The 25,825-nt window shown below is 40.2% G+C and overlaps 1 protein-coding gene and 1 long non-coding RNA gene across 11 annotated transcripts in view, besides 3 other annotated features; one reads left to right on the top strand and one right to left on the bottom strand.

Moving 5' to 3' along the window:
• STK4 (serine/threonine kinase 4) overlaps nt 1–22,028 on the bottom strand; it is a 113,510-nt gene extending 91,482 nt beyond the window's left edge. For 3 of the 10 annotated variants that reach the window (NM_001352385.2, NM_006282.5, XM_017028033.2), the window contains exons 1-5: nt 21,937–22,028; nt 16,382–16,462; nt 9,969–10,097; nt 6,597–6,711; nt 1,244–1,408 (exon numbers count right to left, since the gene is read on the bottom strand). In NM_001352385.2, coding sequence (NP_001339314.1) covers nt 1,244–1,408; nt 6,597–6,711; nt 9,969–10,097; nt 16,382–16,462; nt 21,937–21,971 — 525 coding nt within the window. In that variant the 5' untranslated portion in view covers nt 21,972–22,028. Of the gene's footprint in view, nt 1–1,243; nt 1,409–6,596; nt 6,712–9,968; nt 10,098–12,855; nt 14,441–15,106; nt 15,258–15,619; nt 16,463–17,934 lie in introns of those variants that run through there. The other 7 variants (XM_017028031.3, XM_047440425.1, XM_011529018.4 and 4 more) reach the window with 7 other exon arrangements.
• Nucleotides 20,144–20,273: a silencer, noted in NCBI's record as "silent region_12953". NCBI's record gives its function as "represses an Ori minimal core promoter by ATAC-STARR-seq in GM12878 lymphoblastoid cells {active_cell/tissue: GM12878}" and the evidence as "EXISTENCE:reporter gene assay evidence [ECO:0000049][PMID:35858748]".
• Nucleotides 20,734–20,813: an enhancer, noted in NCBI's record as "active region_17944". NCBI's record gives its function as "activates an Ori minimal core promoter by ATAC-STARR-seq in GM12878 lymphoblastoid cells {active_cell/tissue: GM12878}" and the evidence as "EXISTENCE:reporter gene assay evidence [ECO:0000049][PMID:35858748]".
• Nucleotides 21,954–22,203: a silencer, noted in NCBI's record as "silent region_12952". NCBI's record gives its function as "represses an Ori minimal core promoter by ATAC-STARR-seq in GM12878 lymphoblastoid cells {active_cell/tissue: GM12878}" and the evidence as "EXISTENCE:reporter gene assay evidence [ECO:0000049][PMID:35858748]".
• Nucleotides 22,082–24,746, top strand: STK4-DT (STK4 divergent transcript). The gene is made up of 3 exons (NR_038341.1): nt 22,082–22,423; nt 22,855–22,978; nt 23,092–24,746. It is a non-coding gene; the product is annotated as an STK4 divergent transcript (long non-coding RNA).

Genomic DNA, 25,825 nt, shown 5'->3' with positions numbered 1-25,825 from the left:
TATATACACACACACATATATATACACACACACATACATACATACACATTTTTTTTTTGAGATGGGGTCTCACTCTGTTGCCCAGGCTGGAGTGCAGAGTGCAATGGCGCAATCTCCCAGGTTCAGCCTCCCAAGTAGCTGAGATTACAGGCGTGCGCTACCATGTCCGGCTAATGTTTGTATTTTTAGTGGAGATGGGGTTTCACCATGTTGGCCAGGCTGGTCTCGAACTCCTAACCTCAAGTGATCCTCCCACCTTAGCCTCCCAAAGCGCTGGGATTACAGGCATAAGCCACTGCACCCGGCCAATATTATATTATTTTATAGACCATCAGAGGGTGTATTTTTTCAATTTGGTTTCCTGACTAAGACTGTGGTTTAGGTAATATTGTCTGGTACTGTTTACTTTTGTGTTAACAACAAAACCTTTTGGAGAGCCCACAAATCATGATACTGAATAAGGTTCTGATTTATTTTAAACATCAAAGCAATTTCTGTGCTGTTACAATACCTGAGGCTCCCTAACATGTCCCAGGCAGACTTATAATAAAAAAAAAATAATAAAAAAAAAACCGTACATAACACCAGTTCTAAACACACACTATATATATTCATTCTACCACCCAAGAAAACCACTTGATATGTAATATTTTTGCAAATTTTAGAGTATACCTGCCTAAAACTATTTCTATTTTTCTATATATACTTTCATATATACTTATGTAGAATCAAATAATTCTAGACTTCCTATTTTGAAAACAAGTTTTTTTTTTTCTTTTTTCACTTCCATGCACTAGTTAGGCAGGAGAAGAATCAAGAGACTGTATCCTGGACTCAAACGAACAGAGTGTTTTCAGTACAGTAACTGCCAAGTACTACCTGGAAGTTGAATGAGATGATGTTATGTCTTAGTCAAGGAAAGCAGTTTGGACTTAATTTTTCTTCCTCTTAATTTTTCTTCCTTTTATAAATATGTTGATGTAGTGCACTAGAGTAATCTATCATTTCTTGCTTTACTTTTCATCTTTATAAAAGTTGAACAAAGTTAAGCTATGTGACCTGAACCCCAGGAAAAGATCTAAAATAACCCACTAACTAGCTCTTTTGTAACCTATTGGCAGATTCTGTGATTTTTTACTAATACAATTAAGTCAAGTATTATATTTTAAAAATAGGTAAATAAAAGGAACTGCTTCTCAGGACAGAAATGAAAATTATCAATACAAGTAATATTTTTACTTACTGTAAGTTGACCTGCTACCCCAAAATCTGCAAGTTTTGCATGTCCTTCTGTATTTAGCAAAATATTTCCTGCCTTGATATCTCGGTGTATTTTTCTCATAAAATGAAGGTATTCAAGTCCCTTAAGAGTTGATTGTAATATTGTAGCTATTTCATCTTCTGTTAACTGAAAAAAGAATAAGAAGTTCAAATTCTATCAGTTTACATCAGCGCATTAGAAAAAGGAGAAAAAATCAGATCCAAACCTTTCTTTAATATAAACAGATCTTATTCAACCTGTGAACAGCATTTGACTGCTTATACCATAGATACACTGACCACTCCCAAGGCTATATTTCCATACCAGATCTCCCCTCAATCAGATTTATGTATCTCCAACTAGAATACCTAGCCAGCATCATAAGCATAACATGTCAAAATCAAACTCTATGTCTATCACCTTACCCCTCTCCCTCTGATCCTTCCAACCTACTCCACTTCTCCCACAGTCCTCCCTCTCTCAGTAAAAGGAAACTTTATTCTTTCAGTTGCTCTGGTCAAAAACCTTGAAGTCATCCTTGACTTTTCTCTATCTTCAAAACACTGTATATCCAAATACACCCTCTGTAATCACCATGGTCCAAGTCACCATCGTGTCCTGACTGCACTATTCTCATAATCTCCCGACTGGCTTCTTTGCTTCTGCTCTTGACACTCTACAATGTATTTTCCACACAGAAGCTATAATTAAAATGTAAGCCAGAGTCAAAACCTACCAATGTCTTCCTAACCCACTTAAAATAAAAGTCAGTCCTTACCAAGGCTTTACATGATCTGGCTCTCAGCTACCTCTTTAACTTCATCTTTTACCACTTTCTACCTTGCTCAATCTGTTTCAACAAGGGCTTGCTTCCTTGCTGTTCCTCAAACACTCTAAGCACACTCCCCTTTCTGGGACTTTTCAACTGCCTATTCTCTTCATCCTGATGTCTATCCAGTATGCTTCCTCAGTTTGTAATCTGCCCAAATATCACCTCCTCAGAAAATGGAGAGGGCTTTCTTACTCCATTTCTAGCTCATACTCTATTCCCTTAAATTACCTTGTCACTGCAGTATACTACCATCTGACATATTACCCATTATTTATCTATGTATGTGATATCATCCCTGTTAGAAACACAAGCTCCTAAAAATGTCTGATTTGTTTACTTTTGTTTCCCTAATACCAATAAAGCCACCTGGCACACAGTAGGCACTGAAAAAAATATCTGTTGAAAGTGAGAATGCTAGAAACTAGTATAGAATATCTGATCTGGCCAATATAGACTTTCTGCAGACCCAACACCAGTCCTAAACAAACTCAATCTATCAACAAACTGTTACATAGTTCCCCTTCTGACAAACAACTCAGATGTGAAATGGAGTGTGCTCTGGTGCAAAAACTGTAGGATTTGGGACTAGGAAGACGTAGCTTTTACTCTTGGCTCTACTTTCATGTGACTTAAGCAAGTTACTGACCTTCTCTTATTCTCTTAGCCTGTTTCCCAATCTATAAAATAGGAATATAACTTTTAAGAGTGTCATGAAAATCAATTAATATGTCATAATTTAACACCTTTGATATTATCAATCAATATTTAATAAGCACCAGGTACTATGCTAATAATATGAAAAAAAGTCAAGCACAGTGGCACATGCCTGTAATCTCAGCACTTTGGGAGGCTGAGGCGGACAGATCACTTGAGGCCAGGAGTTCAAGACCAGCCTGGCCAACATGGCAAAACCCTGTCTCTACTAAAAATACAAAAATTAGCTGGGTGTGGTGGCAGGCACCTGTAATCCAGCTACTCAGGAGGCTGAAGCAGGAGAATCACTTGAACCCGGGAGGCGGAGATTGCAGTGAGCTGAGATTGTGTGCACTCCAGCCTGAGTGACACAGCCAGACTCTGTCTCAAAAATAAATAAATAAATAAATAAAGGCTAACCGTTACTAAGTGTTTAATCCATGCTAAGCACTATGTAATCTCATTTCATCCTTATAACAACTAAATGAGGTAGAGGAACTATTATTATCATCATCATTTTATACATAATGAAGCTGAGGGCACAGACAAGTTAAGTCATTTATGCCAAAAGTCAGAGAGAAATGATAAAGCTTTCACTAAAGTCCAGGCAAACACTACTGGCAAGGTAGTAGGCTAGAGTCTGGGGTACCTTCTATAGTGGAAGAGAACAAAGCTCATGACTTGACTTACCACCTCTTTATTCTAACCAGTTAAGTTAATCAGTTGAAGTAGCACTGCCTAATAGAAATATAATGGGAACCACAAATATAATTTTTAATTTTCTAGTAGCCACATTGAAAAAGGAAACAAGCAGACGCAGTGGCTGGTGCTGTAATCCCAGCTACTCAGGAGGCTGAGGCAGGAGGATCACTTGAGCCCAGCAGTTCCAACATACAGTGACCTATGATCACACCACTGCACTCTAGCCTGGGCAACAGAGCAAGACTCTATCTTTGAAAAAAAAAAAGAAAGAATTAATTTTGATAATCTGCTTTACTTAACCATATTTATCCAAAATATTATCACTCCACCATGTCATCAATATGAAAAAATCAAAGATTTTTGTTTACAATTTTTATGGCAATAATTCTTCAAACTCTGGTGTATAATTTATATTTACAGCATATCTCAGTTCAGACTAGCCACATTTTAAGTCCTTAATAACCACATGCGGCTAGTGGATATCACGGTGGACAGGGCAGAGTTATAACATTTGGCAAAATAACGTGTAGTAATTAAAAATCAGCACTTAGGCCGGGAACGGTGGCTCACGCCTGTAATCCCAGCACTTTGGGAGGCCGAGGCAGGCAGATTGCGAGGTCAGGAAATCGAGACCATCCTGGCTAACACGGTGAAACCACGTCTCTACTAAAAATACATAACAAATTAGCCAGGCGTGGTGGCGGGCGCCTGTACTAGGGAGTACAGCTACCAGGGAGGCTAAGGCAGGAAAATGGCATGAACCTGGGAGGCGGAGCTTGCACTGAGCCGAGTTCACACCACTGCACTCCAGCCTGGGCAACAGAGCAAGGAGACTCTGTCTCAAAAAAAAAAAAAAAAAAAAAAACAACGACAACAACAAAAAACCAGCACTTAGTAATTAAGTTAAAATTTACTTAAATATAATAACCTACTATTACAATGGCAAAAAAAAACCAAAAGTGCCATCAAAATTAATTTTGGACTAGTTTAAAATACCTGAAATAAATTGACTTAATGCTGCATATAAGAAGCCCTGAAATCCAATGTTTAATTCAATAAATTATTCCAGTTTTGGAACTTCTTTACATATATCTTATGTTAGGATATTATTCCTAAAGAACTTGCTATTCGATTAAGCAAACACACTAATTCTGAATAATGTAAATTAAGAAGATAGTATATGAATAATCCAAAAGTTATAACTCAGTTTTAAAACACCCTCACCTTATAATTTGTGTAGCACCTCACAATTTACAAAGTACTTTTACATATTTAAATTAATTTTCCCAACTTTGCAAATATGGAATACAGATATTATTATTCTTATTTTTCTTATTAAGACAAAAAAACCACAGGCTAAGATTTTCTCTACTTCTCCACTTATCCACCCACAATCTACCCAGAAGTCAGAGTTATCTTTTTTATTTTTTGAAACAGAGTCTTGCTCTGCTGCCCAGGCTGCAGTGCAGTGGCGCAATCACAGCTTACAGCAGCCTTAACCTCCTGGGCTCAAGCAATCCTCCCACTTCAACCCCCATCACACCCCAAAAGTTAGCTGGGACTACAGGCGCATGACACCACACTTGACTAATTTTGTTTTTCTTTTTTCTTTTGTAGAGACGAGGTCTCGCTATGTTGCCCAGGCTGGCCTCGAACTCCTGGACTGAAGCAATCCTCCGCCTCAGCCTCCCCAAGTGCTGGGATTACAGGCATGAGGTACCACACCCAGCCCCAGAGTTATCTTTCTAAAACATACATCAGATGGCTCGCTCACTTGCTTAGAATCCAGCAATGGTTTCCTATAATACCTGGGATAAAATTCAAACTCATTCCCATGACCTGCAATATCCAATACAATCTAGCCCTGCCCACCTGTCAAACCTCATCTCCTACAGCTTCTCCTTTGCCTATTCCCTTCTAGTCATGGTAGCCCTTCTATCACTCAGACATGCCAAACTCATTCCAGCCTCAAGGTCTTTGCACTGGTTACTGCCCACCTACAATGTTCCTTCAGGACTCTTAGCTCCTTTTCGTCATTTGAGTCTTCCTGTAAACGTCACCACTTCTGAGTGACCTTCCTCAACTATCTACTCTAAAATAGCCCACCAGTCTCCACAACTTTACCATCACTTCATCCTCATTCATTTTCCTCATAGTATATATCATTATTATATCTTTTCTATTAATAGTTACTATTAATTTGCTTTTGTTGCCCTATTCCGAAGTACACTACCATGACAGCAGAGTTGTCATCTGTTTTATTTACTATTAGATCCTTCAGGCCTAAAACAGTGTTCAAGAAATATTTACTGAACGAATACATAAAGACATTAAGTAACTGAACCAGAACTAAAACCCATGACTCCTAGGTCTTATACTGCAACCACAGTATCAGCAAATAATCTTTCATAAGGGGATTATTCTCTGATTAACAGGAAATACAGGAATTTAATTTGTGAACACGCTAGGTAGAAGCAGAAACCCAAATCCAAATCCAAATTTAAACATTTAAAATTCATTCTATAACTAAGATCTAACAGTCATTTTCTTCCCAGTAAGAAATAACCAAAGCATGCTAAAAATCACTGGACTAAATTGGTGTCAAAACTGCCACATTGCCAGGCATGGGGGGGTCATACTTGTAATCCCAGCACTTTGGGAGGCCGAGGTGGGAAAATTGCTTGAGGCCAGGAGTTCGAAACCAGCCTGGGCAACACAGTGAGACACCATCTCCACAAAAAAAAAAAATTAAAAAACAAAACAAAACATTAGCTGGGCATGGTGGTACACGCCTGTAGTCCCAGCTACTCAGGAGCCTGAAGTGAGAGGATCACTGAAGCCCAGGAGGTAGAGCTATGACTGTAGTGAGCTATGACTGTGCCACTACACTCCAGCCTGGGTGACAGGGGACTCTGGTCTCTTGAAAAAAAAAAAAAAAAAAAGCTGTCACACTTAGGAGACATAAAAGAATAAAGATGGAAAATAACCATGGAAAAGGGGAAATCTGACAGTCGTCTCTCTAGTAGGAGAATGCCCTGAAAAAGAGGCAGAGAAAAGAAGATGGCATAAGAAACTAGCTCAGTTGCATGTTCTAGAAGGTAAACCTACCGTTTTATTTCGTAATCGAATGATATCAGATACAGAACCAGCCCCACAGTACTCCATAACGATCCATAAGTCTGTGTTCTTAAAATAACTGCCATAATATTTGACTACATGAGGGCTAGAGAGAGAGAGACAATACAAATTAATAAAATGGCCTTCAAATATCTCTTAATTCATGCTAGCAAGTATATACAAATTAATTCCTCATCTGGAAAGATCAATTATTCATAGTTAAGGATAAAATGGACAACCTCCTGATAAGAATGCAAAATGGTATAGCTTTTCTGGAGGGTAATAAATCACAAAAGTATAAAAAACTTGGTGAGTTCTTTAACCAGCATTTCTATGTCTACAATTTATCCTCAAAAAAGAATTATAAATGTTCAAAAAGTAACAGTTACCATCATAGCACTATTGACAAAAGTGGAAATTTAGATATCATCTAAATGTCCATCCAACATTAGGGAGTTTATTTAAGAAATAATGATACAGGGCCAGGTGCAGTGGCTCACACCTGTAATCCCAACACTTTGGGAGGCCGATGCGGGCGGATTGCCTGAGCTCAGGAGTTCGTGACCAGCCTGGACAAGATGGTGAAACCCTGTCTCTACTAAAATACAAAAAATTAGCCAGCCGTGGCAGTGTGCACCTGTAGTCCCTGCTACTCGGGAGGCTGAGGCAGGAAAATTGTTTGAACCCAGGAGGTAGAGGTTGCAGCGAGCCGAAATCGCGCCACTGCACTCCAGCCTGGGCGACAGAGCAAGACTCCATCTCAAAAAAAACAAAGAATGCTATAGCCGTATAATAAAATATCATGAATCCATGAAAAATGTTATAGACTATGTGATAACATGAGAAGATACTGTGTTTACACAAACAAACAAACAAAAAAGCAGGCTACAAAACAGGAATTACTGTAAAACTCCAAAGTGATTTGGAAGAATATGTGTATCAAGCAGTGTTTAAGAATGATGATTTCAGCCAGGCGCAGTGGCTCACATCTGTAATCCCAGCACTTTGGGAGGCCGAGGTGGGCGGATCCCGAGGTCAGGAGATCGAGACCATCCTGGCTAACATGGTGAAACCCCGTCTCTACTAAAAATACAAAAAAATTAGCCTGGCGTGGTGGCAGGCCCTGTAGTCCCAACTACTCAGGAGGCTGAGGCAGGAGAATGGCATGAACCCAGGAGCCGGAGCTTGCAGTGAGTCGAGATCGCGCCACTGCACTCCAGCCTGGGCAACAGAGTGAGGAGACTCCGTCTCAAAAAAAAGAAAAAATGATGATTTCTCCAAAGGGAAAAGTGATTTTCTTTTCTTTTCATTTGAATTTTTCTAAGAAGTCATATGTACTTTGTAATAAAAACATACACATACTACAATCTATTATAAAGAAAAAATGTTCAGGATCAAACCTGGAATTTTAGGTCTCAAGCTGGAAGAGAGATACCAAACAAGAAATTCAGAGAAAAATCAAATATCCTATTAAAATAAAATAATGTGCCCTCTGAGAGCTGCCAGCTTTAACTGGCTAGATTGTTATCATGGCCAAATGAAGTTTCCTAACAACTGATGTTAAAACCAAATTGGCTTCATTAACTCAGAACTCTTACAATTTCCTCTTCAAACCTTAGGAAACATGCCAGTGACAAGGACAGCAAAACACACACACACATTAAATATTAATGAAAAAAGTGTCTAAGGTAAATATCAACACATTTACTCTCCCTGTAATACAGTACTGACAGGAGTTAAATACTGTAGGCCATTACTATCAAGTATTTACTACTGGAATATGTTCTCTATAGACTTGCACTGTTGGCTAGATTCTCCTCTACATATATATATACTTAGCCTGTCCAATTAGTCTATAAACTCCCAAAGCACAAGGACTCTGCTCTGTATTTCACTGTATTCCTTACAGTGCTTAGCACAGAGTAGACGCTTGAAAATATCTCTTCTTTAATTAAAGACATTTCCATACTCTGTTTGGAACACAGCTCCCGCACAGTCTATCGAAAGTGACAAAGTCCCAATTTGCCAAATGGAAAGAACTTCCAAAATGTATCTGAAAAAGGAGCAAATGGAAAACTGCCACCTTCATCTGGTCAATCCAATCAAGAAAAATGGGGATTTTATCTAGTAGACAGTAATCACAAAAATAGAAGGGAAAAAAAAAGAAGGGAGAGAAAAAAGAAAGGACTACATTCCCAAGTCTGTGAGACTGAAAGGCTTCTGGACTAATTTTTTGGTAGGTAGCCCCACCTAAACCCTAATGTAGAAGTTTTGCAAACAGCAGGTACTAAGTTGATCTGCTGACCAAAAAGCCTTCAGAAGAATGAATGCAGCTTCAACTGAGAGAATTTCTCACCCATCTTCAGCTCCCTAGAGCTGGCATTGCCCCTAACTTTGTGTTTGTCTCTAATCTAAATAGTGCTGGGGAAGCCTGCTCTATCAGTGACCAACCCATGTTGTCATGGAATTTCAGAGCAAACCACGTGGTTTTCTGTGGTTGTCTTTTGGTCTGACTTCCTGCTTACAACATTTGACAAATCTTAGTTCCTCAAAAATAAATACGTAGGTACTCTCAGCTAGAATAATTTTTTTTAATGTGAAGGAACAAACAGTAGTATATACATAACTACTCTTTTTTTATAGATTTACCTGATATTCTAAGGTTTCTAGAACTAAAAAACATTTGAATTATCTGTTCTTGGCTATCTCTGCAGAAATGTTTTCTCAATAGGAAGTAAAAAAGATCATTATCACACACACAAAAAAAAGCAAGCACCACCTTCTGCCTCTTCTTCCTAGTTTCTAAAAGGGCTCACTGAAGAAAAGAAAAAAGCCAGGTATGGTGGCTCACTCCTGTAATCCCAGTACTTTGGGACTTGGCCGAGGCAGGCAGATCATTTATGGTCAGGAATTTGAGATCAGCCTGACGAATATGGTGAAATTCCATCTCTACTAAAAATACAAAAATATTAGCTGGGCGTAGTGGCACATGCCTGTAGTCCCAGCTACTCGGGAGGCTGAGGCACAAGAATCACTTGAACCTGGGAGGTGGAGGTTGCAATGAGCCGAGATTGCACCACTGCACCCCAGCCTGGGCGACAGAGCGAGACTTTGTCTCAGAAAAAAAAAAAAAGAAAAATTGAAAAAAAAAAACAAAACACCATGCATAAAAATTACGGAGGTTTAGCTACAAAAACAACCATTATCATCATATTTTTTTCTGAAAAGAAAATGCACAGTGATTCCATCGAATTCTCCCTTCTGCAAAATATCTAAGTAAATGTGTCTCTAGGTATCAAACTCTACACAATCATAGCTAATTCAAAACCACATTCTCCCCAAAGGAAGCCCACATGCCTTTACCTGTCACATTGCTGCATTATAGAGATTTCTTTGATTATCTCCTGGAGGTCTGATTCCACAGGAACTTGCTTAATAGCAACAATCTGGCCGGTCTCTTTATGAATAGCTTTGTATACGCTGCCATAGGACCTATACATTTGGGAGAAGAAGAACATTTATAAAGTCAAAGCAAGCCAAGATATAAGAAGTGGTAAAACACAAGCAACTGATAGTTCTAACATATATCCCTAAGTGCCTAATACATATACACTTGCAAAACTAAGATAGCTAAAATACTTTTGGGGAAAAAACTGTCAAGAGAACTACAACAAAATGGCATCTTGAAAGCTTCACATTCAAAACTGTAATGAATGTATTCTTATGAGATGGTAATATAGTAGCTGCCATGCACTGCATGCCTGCTATCTGCTAGAGACTGTACACCATCTCAATTCATTCCTACAAAAAATGAAGATGAGATGACTATCCCTATTTTACAGGTAAATGTAAAAAGGTTCAAAGGGGTTTATGATTTGCCCAAGGTCACATAAGTTATCAGTCCAGGATTTGAAACCAGTTGTGTTATCAGTCCAGGATTTGAACCCGGGTGTGTCTGAAAACAAAGCTTACGTTGTCTCCCCATCTATACTGGGGTACAATATGGAAGTGGCAGTCTTTGTTTTATTGTATTCACTCTAGTACCACAAGATCTTTCTGTCCTTGCTCCTCTTACTTACAATAATACTTAAAATATTATGGAAACTAATTAAAATCTAAGCCTGTTTAATATTAGTATCAGGTAAACACAGCACACACACTCTTTGCTTCCTACTCCATCTTCCCTTAACAGCTTAATATCAAAATAAAGTTTGTGTATCTAGTCAATTTGGAGGCTACAGATCCACTAGATTTTGAAAGTAAAGAAGCTGGATTTGAGTCCTACCAACACTACATTTAGCTATCATTTACACCTTATTAACCTTGTTGTACCTGAATTTTCTCATCTGTAAAATGACAATAATACAAACTACCTTACAAGATGTGATGGTATCTCATTTGTGATGGTCAAATGAGATACCATCATCACTTTATACAGATAACATTTTCATTGGAATCCTGGGCAGCTGTCAGTGAAATAATACTGAGTAAACTGTCTTTCATATTTCCCAACACATCTGTATCTTCACACTGTCTTGGTGAAAAAAAAAATCAAAATAGCAGTGCCACCTACTATGTCAAAGTACAATACTCTAACTGCCAAATAGATGCTCATGAACTGTTTCAATGTGAAAGTAACATAAAACTTTTTAAGTCTATGCAGAGCACATAAAAATATTTCCATTCCATTAGAAGCTGTCATACTTGCAAAACTAGCATAATCATCCTTAAATATTACACCAAATACTTTTTGCCAGAGAGAGGCAACTGTTGAGCATGTGTCCCTTCTTCCTTGCTAAAATAACTTCCTAATTTGTTACAGTGGTGATGTGCTTCGTCCCAGGAGATATACCATGGTAGTCCAAGCCACTCACAGAATTCCTATTCCCTTCTGCCAGTGACTGAACTAGTGGCAAACATGTCGCCCAGTTCTGGCCACTGAAATTTGAAGATAATTCTGCTGAAAGGTTTCTGGGAAAGACTTTCTTCCCTGGTAGGAGACAAGCACACAAGAAGGCCCATTTCCACCTGCCACTTCCCTTCTTTCTTTGGTTACTGCCATGTGAGGGATGATGCTTGAAACTAATGCAGCCATTTGAGACTACGAGAATTACCCAGATGTCAAACCATTGTCAAGCCAATTAACGGCTTCTCGAATCTCACACCCCCAGATGTATTATTTAGTTCTTAATGTCTTTATTGGTTAGCCACTGTTTGTTGGGTATTGTTACTTCCATCCAAAGGCATTCTTGATAAATTAGCTCCTGTATGTCTGAAACTGTCTTTATTTCACCTCCACTCTAGAATGATAGTTTGGTTGGATACCGGATTGACAACAGCTTTCCCTCAGCACTGTTGTTGCAGTGTTCCAACATCGACTGTGGCTGAGAAGTCAGCTTTTATCAGATTATCATTTTCCATGGGTAATCTCCCCATAGTTTTTAAGGTTTCCTTTGTCCTTAACAGTCTACTATTCTACTGTAATGTAACTAGGAGTTGATCTGGCACTTCATAAACTTCTTCAATCTGAGGGCTCGTGTCTTTCCTCAAGAATGAAAAACTCTCAGGATTATTATGTGATTATTTCCTCTACCACTTCTAGGATCTTCTTTTAGAATTCCTACCAAAACTGTATTAGACCTCCTCAATCTATGTTGTCTTCCTGGTTTCCAACACTGTATTTCTGCATGTTGTGATCAGTCTCATTTCTATCTTTCAATTCACAAATTCTCCTTTCAGTTTGTCTAGTTTACTGTTTATCCAATTTATTGGGCTTTTAAAACTTCAATTGTTGTAGTTTTCATTGTCAAGATTCCCAACTTTTTATCTGCCTTTGGGCAAATATGTTAATAATCATGTCAATAATCTGATGTCCTTTTAAAAATGTTATCTCCTCCTTGATCTTTTTGAAAATTGTAATTATATTAAATTGTTTTTGAGATTGCTTCATTATTTCTTTTTCCTTCAGTGTGAATTCTCCCATTCTGCTGATTATCTCATGGCAGTAGATTTCCTTGCATGGATTTCATTTTCTCTTGAATGATTTTCCTCTATACCACACTCACTGTCGATGATTTCATGGTTTTCTCAGTACAGTAGTCTGGGATATACAACTTAAACCAGGTCTTATATTCAGAGTTTGGGGTTTTTGCCCTTCAAGATACCATACTTAAATACAATCCAAGCTCAGTTCCTATTATCGAACCAGTATATCCATTTTTTCCCTAGGCCACAGGCAAATGACACTTTCTGGTTGTGGTCAGGCAAATTTATTTCAGCTTTAGTTCACAGATGGAGAGCCGAGTTCCAGCCCCCAACTTCATGCAGGAAGCTCAAATGCAATCTCCTGACAAGGATAAGGCATGCTTTAGTCTCCGCTGATTATTTAGATTTCTTTCCTATCCCTTGTCCATAGCTGTCTATATATCCTTATATTTAAAATAATTTTCACTCATTATTCTTATATATTAGAAAGTTCTCTTCATACACTCACTCAGCAATCTTGACCAGAACACTCTTCATACCTCCCTATGCATCCTGATAGCAAGGAAAACTCCAATAGCTCACATGAAGTTAAGATTCCTGATTCCATATACTGCATCTACAGTAATCTGAAGGCAGGGATAGGGGGTGGTTAGAAGATTTCAGCAATCATACTCACAAGCAAGTCCCTTAAAACTTGATTCCCTACAACAAAATGAGATGATTCAATGAATTACAACTGACAGCAGAGAATGGAGAAGTAGGTGTTTTACATAAGCCATGCAAGGCAAGGATCTATGTAGAAAAATGGAAATACCACAGTATCTGAGGCCAAATTAATCAGATACAAGTCTTAACAATAGCACTCATTTTTTATGAAACCATGGGCAAGATGCTTTTGTTATCATTCTATGATAAAAATTCAAATGAGTCAATGTGTACAACTTTAAGTAGAAGAAAAAAGGTGCTAGGCTCCACTTGAAAACACTTCCCAAGTGCTCTCCACTCATCCTGGTCTGGAGCTTTGGCTCTACTCTGCCACAGATCCATATGATCCTCATAACACAGAATGATTGCAGCCTCCAGAATCCAACAGTTTTTTTAGCCATAGCTCATTTCACAAGATACAAGTCAGTGAGAGTTCACAAACCATTCATCCTCCCGAACAATTTAAGAATAGCATTGGCCAGGCGTGGTGGCTCACATCTGTAATTCCAGCAATTTGGGAGGCTGAGGCAGGCAGATCACAAGATCACGAGATCAAGACCATCCTGGCCAATATGGTGAAACCCCATCTCTACTAAAATACAAAAAATAAGTCGGGCGTGGTGGTGTGTGCCTATAGTCCCAGCTACTCAGGAGGCTGAGGCAGGGGAATCGCTTGAACCTGGGAGGCGGAGGTTGCAGTGAGCCGAGATTGTGACATTGCACTCCAGCCTGGTGACAGAGCAAGACTTAATCTCAAAAAAAAAGAATAGCATTGTGTCACATGTTTGGAAAAGAAGTGCAGTGAAGGTCTTCCTTCAAAATATTCCTAGTTAAATGAGGCTTGCTTAGGTTCATTCAGTCAGAATAACAGAAATCCAAGAAATACCAGAAATCTGGTATTATTTAGAAGAACAATAAGGTGATAGTATGGGAAGAAAGATCTGAAGCTTTGTTTTCTCCCTGGTGATATCTTCATAGGGAAATTTCCACATTCCTTGCAGAAGACATCCATAGATCTAAAACGCAATTTGTCCAGGTGCAGTGGTTCACGTCTCTAATCCTAGCACTTTGGGAGGCTGAGGCAGGAGGATCACTTAAGGCCAAGAGTTCAAGACCAGCCTGGGCAACACAGTGAGACCTCGTCTCTACAAAAATAAATAAACAAACAAATAAATAAAATACAATTTAAAAAATCATAATTAGCTTATTTTTTGTTTACATTATATTTCTGATATATTCTCTGTCTATAGTCTTCCTTTGACATTCCACAAACCCAATCAGCTCAGAGCTACCTATAACAACACCTAAAAATACTTTAAGACTTGACATGATGAGGTCTTGAAAATGCTTCAGTTGATACATTTAAAATAGAATAGCAATAGTTGCCACTTACTGAACATTTATTATTGTGATAAGCACTATACTTTACCCCAATTACCTCAGGTAATAACACAACTCTATGAATTGATATATTATTATCCCAACTTTACAGATGAGGATTGTGAGCCTCCAAAATAGTAAGCAATTTGCTTAAGCCCACTTGTCTATTATGACCAGTAAACAGTAGAGCAAGGATTTTAACCCAGGTCAGCCTCACATTGTAGTAGTAAGAGCAAACTGTATTAGAAATGAGAGAAATAAGTTACATAGTCAATTATGCCTATCAGTCTTGAACTTATTCTAAGTATAACTTATGAGCATTGTTAGATTAAAGGTCACAGCCTTGCTGCCTTAGGGAAAATAGCAAGGATGGCAAGCTAAAGCTGAAAATGGCAGGCAACAGATGTAGAGGGACTGTCATTTCCCCATACCTTTAATGATGCCAGTCAACTGGCAGTCTTCAGATTCATCTTGGACTTGTCTTTTCACAGCACAGCTGGTGTGTCATTTTTACTTCCCTTCTCTGCTTGATTTCTTGCTGGATTCCAAAGAGTATTTTTCCAACTTACAAAAAGACGATGACTCATGTTTTTTACAAGGAGGTAAATCATAAAAAAACCATTTCATGTAATCCAGGATTGGGTTTAACGTTGTAAATCTGTCTCCTAACATAAAAAATACTAAACCCAAAAAATAATCTAATGACATAAAGGAAATTATTTTAAAGAGCATATAGTCATCAGTCAGTAGTTGTTTTTACAAGTTAGTATGTCAGGTCTTCCCTTGATCCAGAAATACTCCCAAGGGATTAAAAATACAGACACACACACACACAAACACGAGTGTGCGCTCGCACACACATAGCCTGTCTCTGAAAGACACACAAGAAGCCGCTACCCTTGGTGATTCTGGGTGGCTAAGAGACAGAGAGAGGTAGGAGGCAGTTTTTTTTTTTTTTTATTGTATGCGTCTTAATATTTTTTTAAATTTTGAATCATATGATTGTATCGCCTATTCAAAAATTAACAAGAAAAACTTAAGAAATGGTGTCATTAACATTTTAATTTCCTGGTCATTACAGAAGAAGGAATAAATACACAGGATTGAATTAAAATGATATATAAAAGTATAAAAATTATGTAAACTTAATTGTATCATGAAAGTCAATGATGGTCACTGCACATTACTAATATCATTTCATCAGTATTTTATAAACGCATTAACAAATCTGTGTTTCAGGAAATCCACTGGCTCCCAACCCAGGATTGTGGATCTCCTAAGTAGCTGTGAAGGTGGTGATAGTGCTTAATTTATTTACTATATTTCACAAAGGTGCAAATATTAAAATACTAAATTACATTGATTTTCATTGAAACAGTTATTGCATACCAATCAGAAATTATGAACAGCAAATTAAAAAGTTTCTTATAGAATTTTAATCTAATTAGTGCTATCTGTTAAGTAGATAAAATCATACAGATCCTACAAAAGAGAAAACAATAGATATTCTTCGTGTTAAAAAGACCAGGAATCACTAAATCTGTCTATAATAGGGATTGGAGTAAAGCGAAGAAGGACATCACAAGCTGTAAATTTACCTTCCACCCCACCTAGAACAATGCTGAAAGGTTCATATCCTTCTGCTTCTTCTGGGGCAGGAAAAAGACTGGGACCCAATGACCTACCTATAGTTTCTTTACACTCACCCTTCTCCAAGTTTCTCTAAGACATCAAATACTTCTTCTGGTTGTTTGGTTAAACTATCTTCATCCAACTTTTTCAGCTGCCTGTGAATAAAGAAATATAAACACAAAATACATTTTATTTGCTAGGAACTAGAACATAAAATATATCTTTTTTTTATAATTAGCATCTCAGGAACTTCTCTATACAGACTTCACTAGTTAAGACTGTTTTAAGAAACAAGGTTTCTTGGGAGGCCGATACAGGCAGATCACGAGATCAGGAGATCGAGACCATCCTGGCTAACATGGTGAAACCCCGTCTCCACTAAAAATACAAAAAAATTAGCTGGGCGTGGTAACGCATGCCTGTAATCCCAGCTACTCAGGACGCTGAAGCATAAGAATGGCGTGAACCCAGGAGGCAGAGTTTGCAGTGAACCGAAATTGCGCCACTACGCTCAAGCTTGGGTGACAGAGAGAGACTGTCTCAAAAAAAAAAAAAAAAAAAAAAAAAGTCATGTGGCTGAAATGCTGTAGATTCAAGCATTCGATGTATCCTTCAAAATCTATTTAAATCTTGAGATTTCATGAATTAAAATGATGTAATTATCTCTTCAGAAAAGGTGTTTAATGTAAGGTAACTATGAATTGAAACATAACTATGAATTGGACTGCAGACTAAGGAAGACACGGGAAACCTTTGCTCTTCCATTAGCAAGTTTTTTGTAAGTTTGTCAAAACACATAAATTCTGTAGGTATCACAGAAACAGAAAGTGGAAAGTGTACATTTAGATATGATCAAAAGTGAAAAATCACTAGGCAGCTGTGAGTTTCAGATATTCTCACAAAGACCTTCCTATGAGTAGATACATACCTTTGACTAGTCCCAAAAATCAAAGGTACTTGGCTGCTCACAATTTCCAGATAATTCAGATTTCTGACTATGCTAGACAATCATAACAAACATGGGAGGTTATAAATTAACATTTTTTTAAAACTCTGAGATCTCTGAAAATTACTAATGAGCTTAAAGAAGGAACTTGCCAAGGAATATGTGTGTGTGTGTGTGTGTGTGTGTGTGTGTGTGTGTGTGTGTAGTCTACACAATGGCTTCCTGAAACTACAAAGAACAACAAAGAATAGAGAGCTGAGGAAACGGTGAAATATGGAAGTAGTCACACTGGAGACCTCTTTGTAGAAAAAAAAAGGTTTAGACTAGCTGGATAATATCAATTATTACAACAAAAGACTTAAATACACACACATACACACACACACACACACACACAAATGTGTACCTTCCTAAATAAAACAGATTAAAATTAGAAGACAAAAAATAAAACAAACCAACAAAAACCCTGACCACATCAAGTGTATCTACCAATAAACACTGATCTCAGAAGGACAATCTTATAGTTTATGAATATCAAGGACTATAAACTAGAGAAATGGAGAACTGCTCCAAGTCAAAACTGCCTTAACTTGATATCAACAGAACAAAATGATCACAGTGACCTTTGAAAATCAAAAGGTCCTAAAAATTAAATACCAATGACATCATAAAAACTCCTACCTTCAAAATGAAAAGGGATGAAGTGAAACTCCTCTTAAACTTCAGAACTGAAACTTCTATAAACTCAGAAGTCAGAACGAACATCTCATATGCCAGGGTTTTTTTGGTAAAGTCCTGAATTGTAATTGTATAAACATTGGACAATACCTCACTTCTCAAGTATAATCAAAGTTGTATAAACAGCTTATACAAAGGAAGATCAAGTATGTTTCTTTGAAGTGTTGACTCTCTGTGGTTTACAAAATGCAAAAGTCACTATTTCAACTACTTCAGGGACCACAGCATAACAAAGGAAATTGCCACTGCCTTGAGATAGACAGCTGCAAACCTCTGATAATACTTTGACAAACTTTTTTTTTCTTTTTTTTTAATTATTATTATACTTTAAGTTTTAGGGTACATGTGCACAATGTGCAGGTTAGTTACATATGTATACATGTGCCATGCTGGTGTGCTGCACCCATTAACTCGTCATTTAGCATATGACGGCTCGAATACATCTTTGAAACAATCTAAGTGCTTTTTTGTTTGTTTTTGATCCGGGGCTATTAAAAACAACTTGAACTTAAGGCGCTATTACATCTCTGGTGCCTGATAACCAAGAGGTGGTCAAAATATATTTGTGAAATGGATTCACAAATGTAATGATGGGAATCACGAATTTCATCAGCAATCTTTGAATTATCACAATAAAACAGAATTTCACCTAAGAAGTATTACTGAATTATCAACATTTCTATAAAAATATTTTGATAAGTGATTCATAATAATATTTTATACCATGACTCTTCACAGAAAAAACACTATTACCAAAACAGCCTGACTCTGATAATACAGTTCTCTTATCTGGGACTTCCCCAGGTTCCAGACGGTTTCAGCACTTGCTCATAAATGAACAAGCCTGATCAACAGAGCATCCATGGACCAAATACTGGTGGATGCTCCTCTCCTAAGTCAGATGGCCATGTGGATGGCCAGCATCCCAGGAATGCACTCTACGCCTTCCACTATAACATTAATCTAATGGCAACTCATTTTTTAAAATTATTAACTCCTATATGAGACACCAATCTGTCATCACTTAATCACACACACACACAAATGTCAAACTCACGAACACAAAGGGCATTTCCTGCACTGGGGTTATTGGAAACACATGCCATCTGAATTTCTGAAAAGACACCTGTATCTTTCCAAACACAAGTAATGGTGTCTATGAAGTAGTCACTTACAGGTCTGGCTAATTCTCAAAGCTTTCTCCCATTTCAGAACTCCCATAAAGTTCATTTTATGTGTAACTATTTCTTTTTCCACACAGAATTTGATATGGATTACAACAACTATACATGATAAATGGACAAAATCTTACATAATAAAACTGTGTCCCCAGCTTACCCCAATTCATATGCTGAAGTCCTAATACCCACCACCTAAGAATGTGACTGTATTTGGAGACAAGGCCTTTAAAGAGGTAATTAAGATAAAATGAGGTCATATGGGCATGCCCTAATCCAGTATGACTGGTGTCCTTATAAGAGGAGATTAGGACACTGACAGGTACAGAAGGAAGAACATGGAGACACAGGGAGATGGCCATCTACGAGTCAAGCAAAGGCGTCAAAAGAAACAACTCTGACAATGCCTTGATTTCAGATCTCTAGCCTTCAGAACAGTGAGAGAATAAATTTACGTTGCTTAAACCACCCACTCCATGACACTTTGTCTTGTCCTGATAAACTGATACACGTGATAATAAAATTGATCTGCTTCAAATTAGGCAATCTACTAGTTACAATGAGCTGGGAATCACCAGCCACTTCAGAACCCAGTCCTGCAATGCTCTTCTCTTGTGCTTTTAATACATTTTTTAAAATCCAAAAGGTACAGGAATGAGCATGCCAAGAAACTTTAGTCCTTTGCTCAAGATTATGTAAGACAAGGCAAAGGGGGAAACAAAACTCAGATTCCTAATCCTCTTTTCAATTAAACCAAGGCCTCGGAGAAAGAAACCAAGAAGAACGAACGAACATAGTTCAGAAAGAAACATAACTAGTGTGCATTCATAATTGGATCACTATGGTACTATAGTAAATATCTGCTAACATACACAGAGACCTGTGAAACAGGGGTACTTTTAGAGAGGCATCAGAGTGAGGCAGTTAAGAGCATGGCCGGGCCCGGTGGCTCACGCCTGTAATCCCACCACTTTGAGAAGCCAAGGTGGGCGGATCACGAGGTCAGGAGATAGAGACCATCCTGGCTAACACGGTGAAACCCCGTCTCTACTAAAACTACAAAAAATTAGCCAGGCGTGGTGGCACGCACCTGTGGTCCCAGTTACACAGGAGGCTGAGGCAGGAGAATCGCTTGAACCCAGAAGGCGGAAGTAGCAGTGAGCCGAGATTGCGCCACTGCACTTCAGACTGGGCGACAGAGTGAGACTCCGTCTCAAAAAAAAAAAAAGAACATGGACTTTGGACCAGACCCCATAGACATTAAAATCCTAGCTCTGTCTCTTACTTGCTATGACTTCTCCCAGCAAATCACTACCCTCTGTATCTCAGTTTTATCATCTGTAAAACAGACATATAGGGATATCTACCACACAGGATTGTTGTGAGGTTCAAATGAGTTCAAATGAGGTTTTTATGGTTCAAAAATGGTCAAATATCAGCAATTTCATATGCTTCAGCAGGACACATGGAAAGCACTTAGAACAGTGCCTGGCACCCGGTAAGTGCAATATGAGTGTAATAATCATTACTATTACAGTCTCAGCACACTACGCTAGGGTGAATCCAAAGCCCATCCCAACCACCTATTTGCCTTCTGCAATGTTTGTGCACCTCAAACATCCCCAAGCTCAAACAACCCCTAAGAGTGCTGCCCAGGCAGTCAATCCCTTCTCTTCACCTCTTGGTTGCCCTGCACTTCCACACCCTGAACACTTCCTTCTTTAGAGCTCATTCTGCTGCAGGAAGTCAGACGTCTCTGTGAAATAGAAGTAACCACACTGAACCTCAGAGAAGCATGACTCCTTCGGTCTCTAGTCCCTACTTTTCTCCAGATGTGGTAGAGTGGCAAAAGACCCGGGATGTCCACAAGGGAAATCCAGGAGTTGAGATTTTCTAGGATCAGCCACCATCCTGATCTTGAACTAAAGCAATTCCAGGTACCACTAGGATTTGGTGCTGATATTCACAAAACAACTGAGGCCTGAAAAGGGCACAGACTGGCAGGGTTCAGTGACCCGGAGTAAAGAAGGAAACACTTCCCAACTACTCTGGACCTCAGTCTCCCCATCTCGAAAATATCCTCTTATTTCCTTACCTACCTCCCAATGTCAGGTTCTGAAGAGCTGAGGAGGATGTGAAGACCATTAGGAAGACACTGAACATCAGTAATAAAAGATGCCATCCTACAGTGGGGACACCACCAACAGCATCCTCTGAAATGCTACCCTCCACCATCCCCTCCCTTGCTAGACCCTCAACCTTTCCTCGCATGCTTTCAGCCTTAGGCGCAAAGCTTTTCCCCTCCACAGATCCCCCCACCGCACCCCTCAAGTGGGACTTCAGACCCTTAGAAAGTCCACCCGGCCTTCCTCTTGGCCAGTTCTCGATCCACCCCCTTAAAGAGATCCCTCACAGATTCTCACCCTGCTTCAGCATTCGCCCCCACCTCCGTGAGTCCCTGCTTGGATAGCGTTCCCCCGAGTGGCCCGGCCTCAGCAGGTACTCTCCCTAACTTGTCCCCACGTTCCTCAGCACAGTCTCACCACAGCGAGTGCTCCCTCTAACCGGTCCCAAGTCTAACCTCCTTAGCAGATGCTCCCCTCAGCCGGACCCTCACCCACCAGACGTCCCCCCCCTCACTCAGCAGGTGCCCCATCGGCTGGGTCGCTTAGCTCCGGGGACTCCCACACAGGTGTATCCCCTCAACCAGTTCCCGCCTTTTCTTCCCCTGACCCCATGCCCGTCCTCTTAGCCAGTGGCCCCTCACCGGCGCGGCGGGTTCCTCAGCTGTACCGTCTCCATGGCGCTGCCAGCAGCCGCCCAGACCCGCTCACTGCTCCATCCTCCCGCGGACCTCCTGAGCCCGCCCCGCAGACCCTCCCACACTTCCGCTTTCCGCCCCTACCGGAAGCGGCGCGCGGCGCGGGAGCGGGGCGGAGCCACGGCCCTGATCACGTGGTTCGGGCGTGAGTCTTGTGGCGCGGTGGGGCGCGGACCCGGAACCGCCAAGTGGTGAAGGCGCCTCCAGGCGGTGCCCGCTGGTCTCTAGAGTGTCAGTGGCGCTGTCTTCCTGCGTTACCGGAGCGCACAAAATACTCGGTCCCCAGGCCGAGAACGCACCTCTACCTGGGTCCTGGGTCCCATTTCACAGACTGAGATGCGTGAAGCGCCTCCTTTAGAAGAGCTGACAATTCTTAGCAAACCAAGTTTTGCGTGATTTTGGGGAGGCGGCGCTGCCCCAGGAACGCCTGGAGGTATTTGTGGTTTTCTGCCGCTTACCTGGTTGAACTCTGGTCCCAACGGGCCCCCTGCACATTTTCTCCTACAATGCATCAACGCGCAAATTGCCCCACTGTCTTTCTTAAAGGCCTCCCCTTTAAGTCAGTTTGCAGACATAAAAATAAGCAACATTAATTAAGCATTTGCCGTGTACTTGTCTTCATATATTATCTCATTTAATCCCCTGTGTCAAGCCGATAAGGTCATCCCCGTTTTTATTTATTTAATGATTTAACACAGTCCCTAAACGTTTTCAGTGCTTTACCTCATTTAATACTCCTAACAACCTAGACGGTATTATTATTATTCCTACTTCATAAGGCCAGAGAGGTGAAGTATCTAGCCCAAGGTCACATAGCTTAGAGTATAGGTTTGGGGATTTAAATCCAGTTTGGTCTGATTTCAGGGCCTGCACCACCAAACTGGACAGCCATGGGTGTGTAACCTCTTTTTGGGCCTGAGAAACAGACCTTTCTCTCCACTCAGAGCTCCGGCTTCAGCTATTGTGCTTCCGAATGCCACTACCATCAGTAAGTATTAGGAAAATGGCAGATTCTACCCAATTGACCCATGGGGAAAGTTATAGGAGAAAACTTAACCAGAGCAACCTCTCACTGTTTTTAATTGCCTTGCTTTTCCCAAGGATATGCCATCTACAGAACTTAACACCTGAGCACCCACCCTTCAGGGCCACCCATGGGCCCAAAACGGGATAAAGGAGCCATTCCCTGACATAGGAGGAAAACATTTGCTGAGAAGCTACTGTGTGCCAGACACAATCTTGGACTTTCACTTAATCCTCAAAACAGCCCTAGGAAGAAGTACCTACCGTTAACAGATAAGAAAGCTGAGACCCACGGTTTACACAGCTAAGGAGAGCAAAGGTTTTAACCCAGGACTGTCCTGACTCCACAACATCAAAGTTGTTGTTTTGTTTTTGGTGTTTTGTAGAAACAGGATCTCCCTATTATTACCCAGGCTGGTCTCAAACTCCTGGGCTGCAGCAGTCCTCCCACCTCGGCCTCCCAGAGTGCTGGGATTACAGGCAAGAGCCACCACACCTGGCTGATGAATAGGAATTGGGTAAACATTTTTGAAAATTAAATACCAAATTACCATTACACAATGCCAAACAGACCTCCTTTGTCCCCTTCCCAGGATTTTTCCAGAAGATGGACTCACATTATGATGGCCCCCTTTTTCCGCAGAGTGTTCCCAATGAAAATTTCTGAAATGATGGGAATGTTCTAAATATGTGCTGTCCGAAATAGTAACCATTAGCCACATATGGCTATTGAGCACTTTAAATGTGGCTAGCATAACTGAAAGGCCACATTTTTATTTAAATTTAAATTTAAATAGCAAACCGTGGCTAATCATAATAATAGCTTAAGAGAGAAATGGTGAGCAGGGTTACTGGGAGAGGTATTTTCCTATAAGCTCTGGATATACAGTTGACCTGGGAACAACAAGGGTTTGAGCTGCATGGGTCCACCAATACAACCCTTGTTTTGTTTTGTTTTGTTTTCAATAAATACAGTCAGCCCTCTCTATCAGAGGGTTCCACATCCACAATGAAACATGGTTGGAAAATACAGTATGGGATGTGAAACCTGTGTATAGGGTGGGCTGACTTTTCGTTTCCATAGGTTCTGCAGGGTCAACTATAGTACATGAGTATACTCACATTTTAGTATCCTAATAGATCCTCAAACCAACACCTGGCAGAAAATGGGGAACAATTGCATAACAGTATTCAAGGGACTGGGTATGATGGCTTGCACCTGTAATCCCAGCACTTTTGGAGGCCAAGGCAGAACAGGAGTTCGAGACCAGCCTGGGCAATATGGTGAAACCCCTTTTCTACAAAAAACTTAGCCAAGCATGGCATATTTGTGTAATGCCATTTGCATGACCCACATGGTCACCCTGGACCCCGTGGATCAGGCCCTGCCTGGTGCCACCACCGCCACTTCTGTGCCAGGCCCCCAGTGTGATGCAAGTTGCATGATGCTCTTTGCTGTAGTGCCTTTTAATGGCATAGCTTTGGCAGGTTTGGAGATGTTCAGAATAGGCAAATCCTGTGGTGGATTTGTGGTTGTCTAAGGCCCTGGTGGAAGGGAGCATAGGTGAATTGGAGGGGATGATTAAAAGGTGTGAGATTTCATTTTGGGGTGATGAAAATGTTCTAAAATTGGTTGTAGTAATGGTTATACAACTCTGAATATACTAAAAGGCATTGAATTGTACACTTTCAATATGTGAGTTATATCTCAATAAAGCTATTTTACAAAAAAAGACACCTCTTCCCAGAAGACTTCTCTGTTCCCTTGTCCCTCCCCTGACCCTCTCATCTGTCCCTCCTTCAAATTATTTCAGTACTGTTTTTATCAGTCCTGGCATTTATAGGAAGCACTGCAGGAAGGGATTTCCAGGTATTGACTGCTGTGTAAGAAACCACCCCAAAGTTTATAGGCATAGAACAACAGTCTTTTTTTCTTCTCAGAAATCTACAATTTGAGCATGGCTCAGCAGGAAGGCTCATCTCTGTTTATGGTGTCAATCAGGATCAATCAGCCCTGTCCAAAAGGCATTTCACACAGCTGACAGGTTGGTGCTAGCTGTTGGCTGGAAGCTCACTTGGGTCTGAAGGCTAGGGGCGTCTCCATTTTTCTTGAGCTTCCTCACAAAATAAAGCCTGGGTTCTAAAGCATGTTCCCGAGGGAGAGCCAAGTGGGATGCTGCAGTGCCTTTTAGTGGAAGATACTTAATGTCATTACCACTGTGGAGGGGGGCCACAAAGGCCCACCCAGTTTCAAGGAGAAGGGATGCAGACTCCACCTCCTCATAGGGCAGTGGCAAGGGTCTGGAAGAGCTTGGGGAACCAGAAATATTATTGGGGCCATTTTTGGAAAATAAAATTTGCCACAGCTACACTTATCCGATAAACCACTCAGGAAATATTCAGCTGCAAGCAAGTGAAAACATCTAAATGTTGGCTTAAAGCACCATGGCATTTACTGTTTGTTTTGAGACAGAGTCTCGCCGTATTGCCCAGGATGGACCACAGCAGCCCAGTGATCTGGGCTCACTGGATTCAAGCAATTCTCCTGCCTCAGCCTCCTGAGTAGCTGGGATTACAGGCGCATGCCACCACGCCCAGCTACTGTTTGTATTTTTAGTAGAGATGGGGTTTCACCATGTTGGCCAGGTTGGTCTCAAACTCCTGACTTCAAGTGATCCGTCCACCTCGGCCTCCCAAAGAGCTGGGATTACAGCTGTGAGCCACCACACCTTGCCTTTATTGTTTATTAATAAGCTAATAAGTCAGCAGTTGATTCAATGACTCAGCAATATCTATTTCATTTTTTCCCCTC

This window comes from Homo sapiens, chromosome 20 (assembly GCF_000001405.40).
Source record: "Homo sapiens chromosome 20, GRCh38.p14 Primary Assembly".
Taxonomy (NCBI): domain Eukaryota; kingdom Metazoa; phylum Chordata; class Mammalia; order Primates; family Hominidae; genus Homo; species Homo sapiens.
Note: the sequence above shows the minus strand (reverse complement) of the source record. Positions and strands in the feature narration are given on the sequence as shown.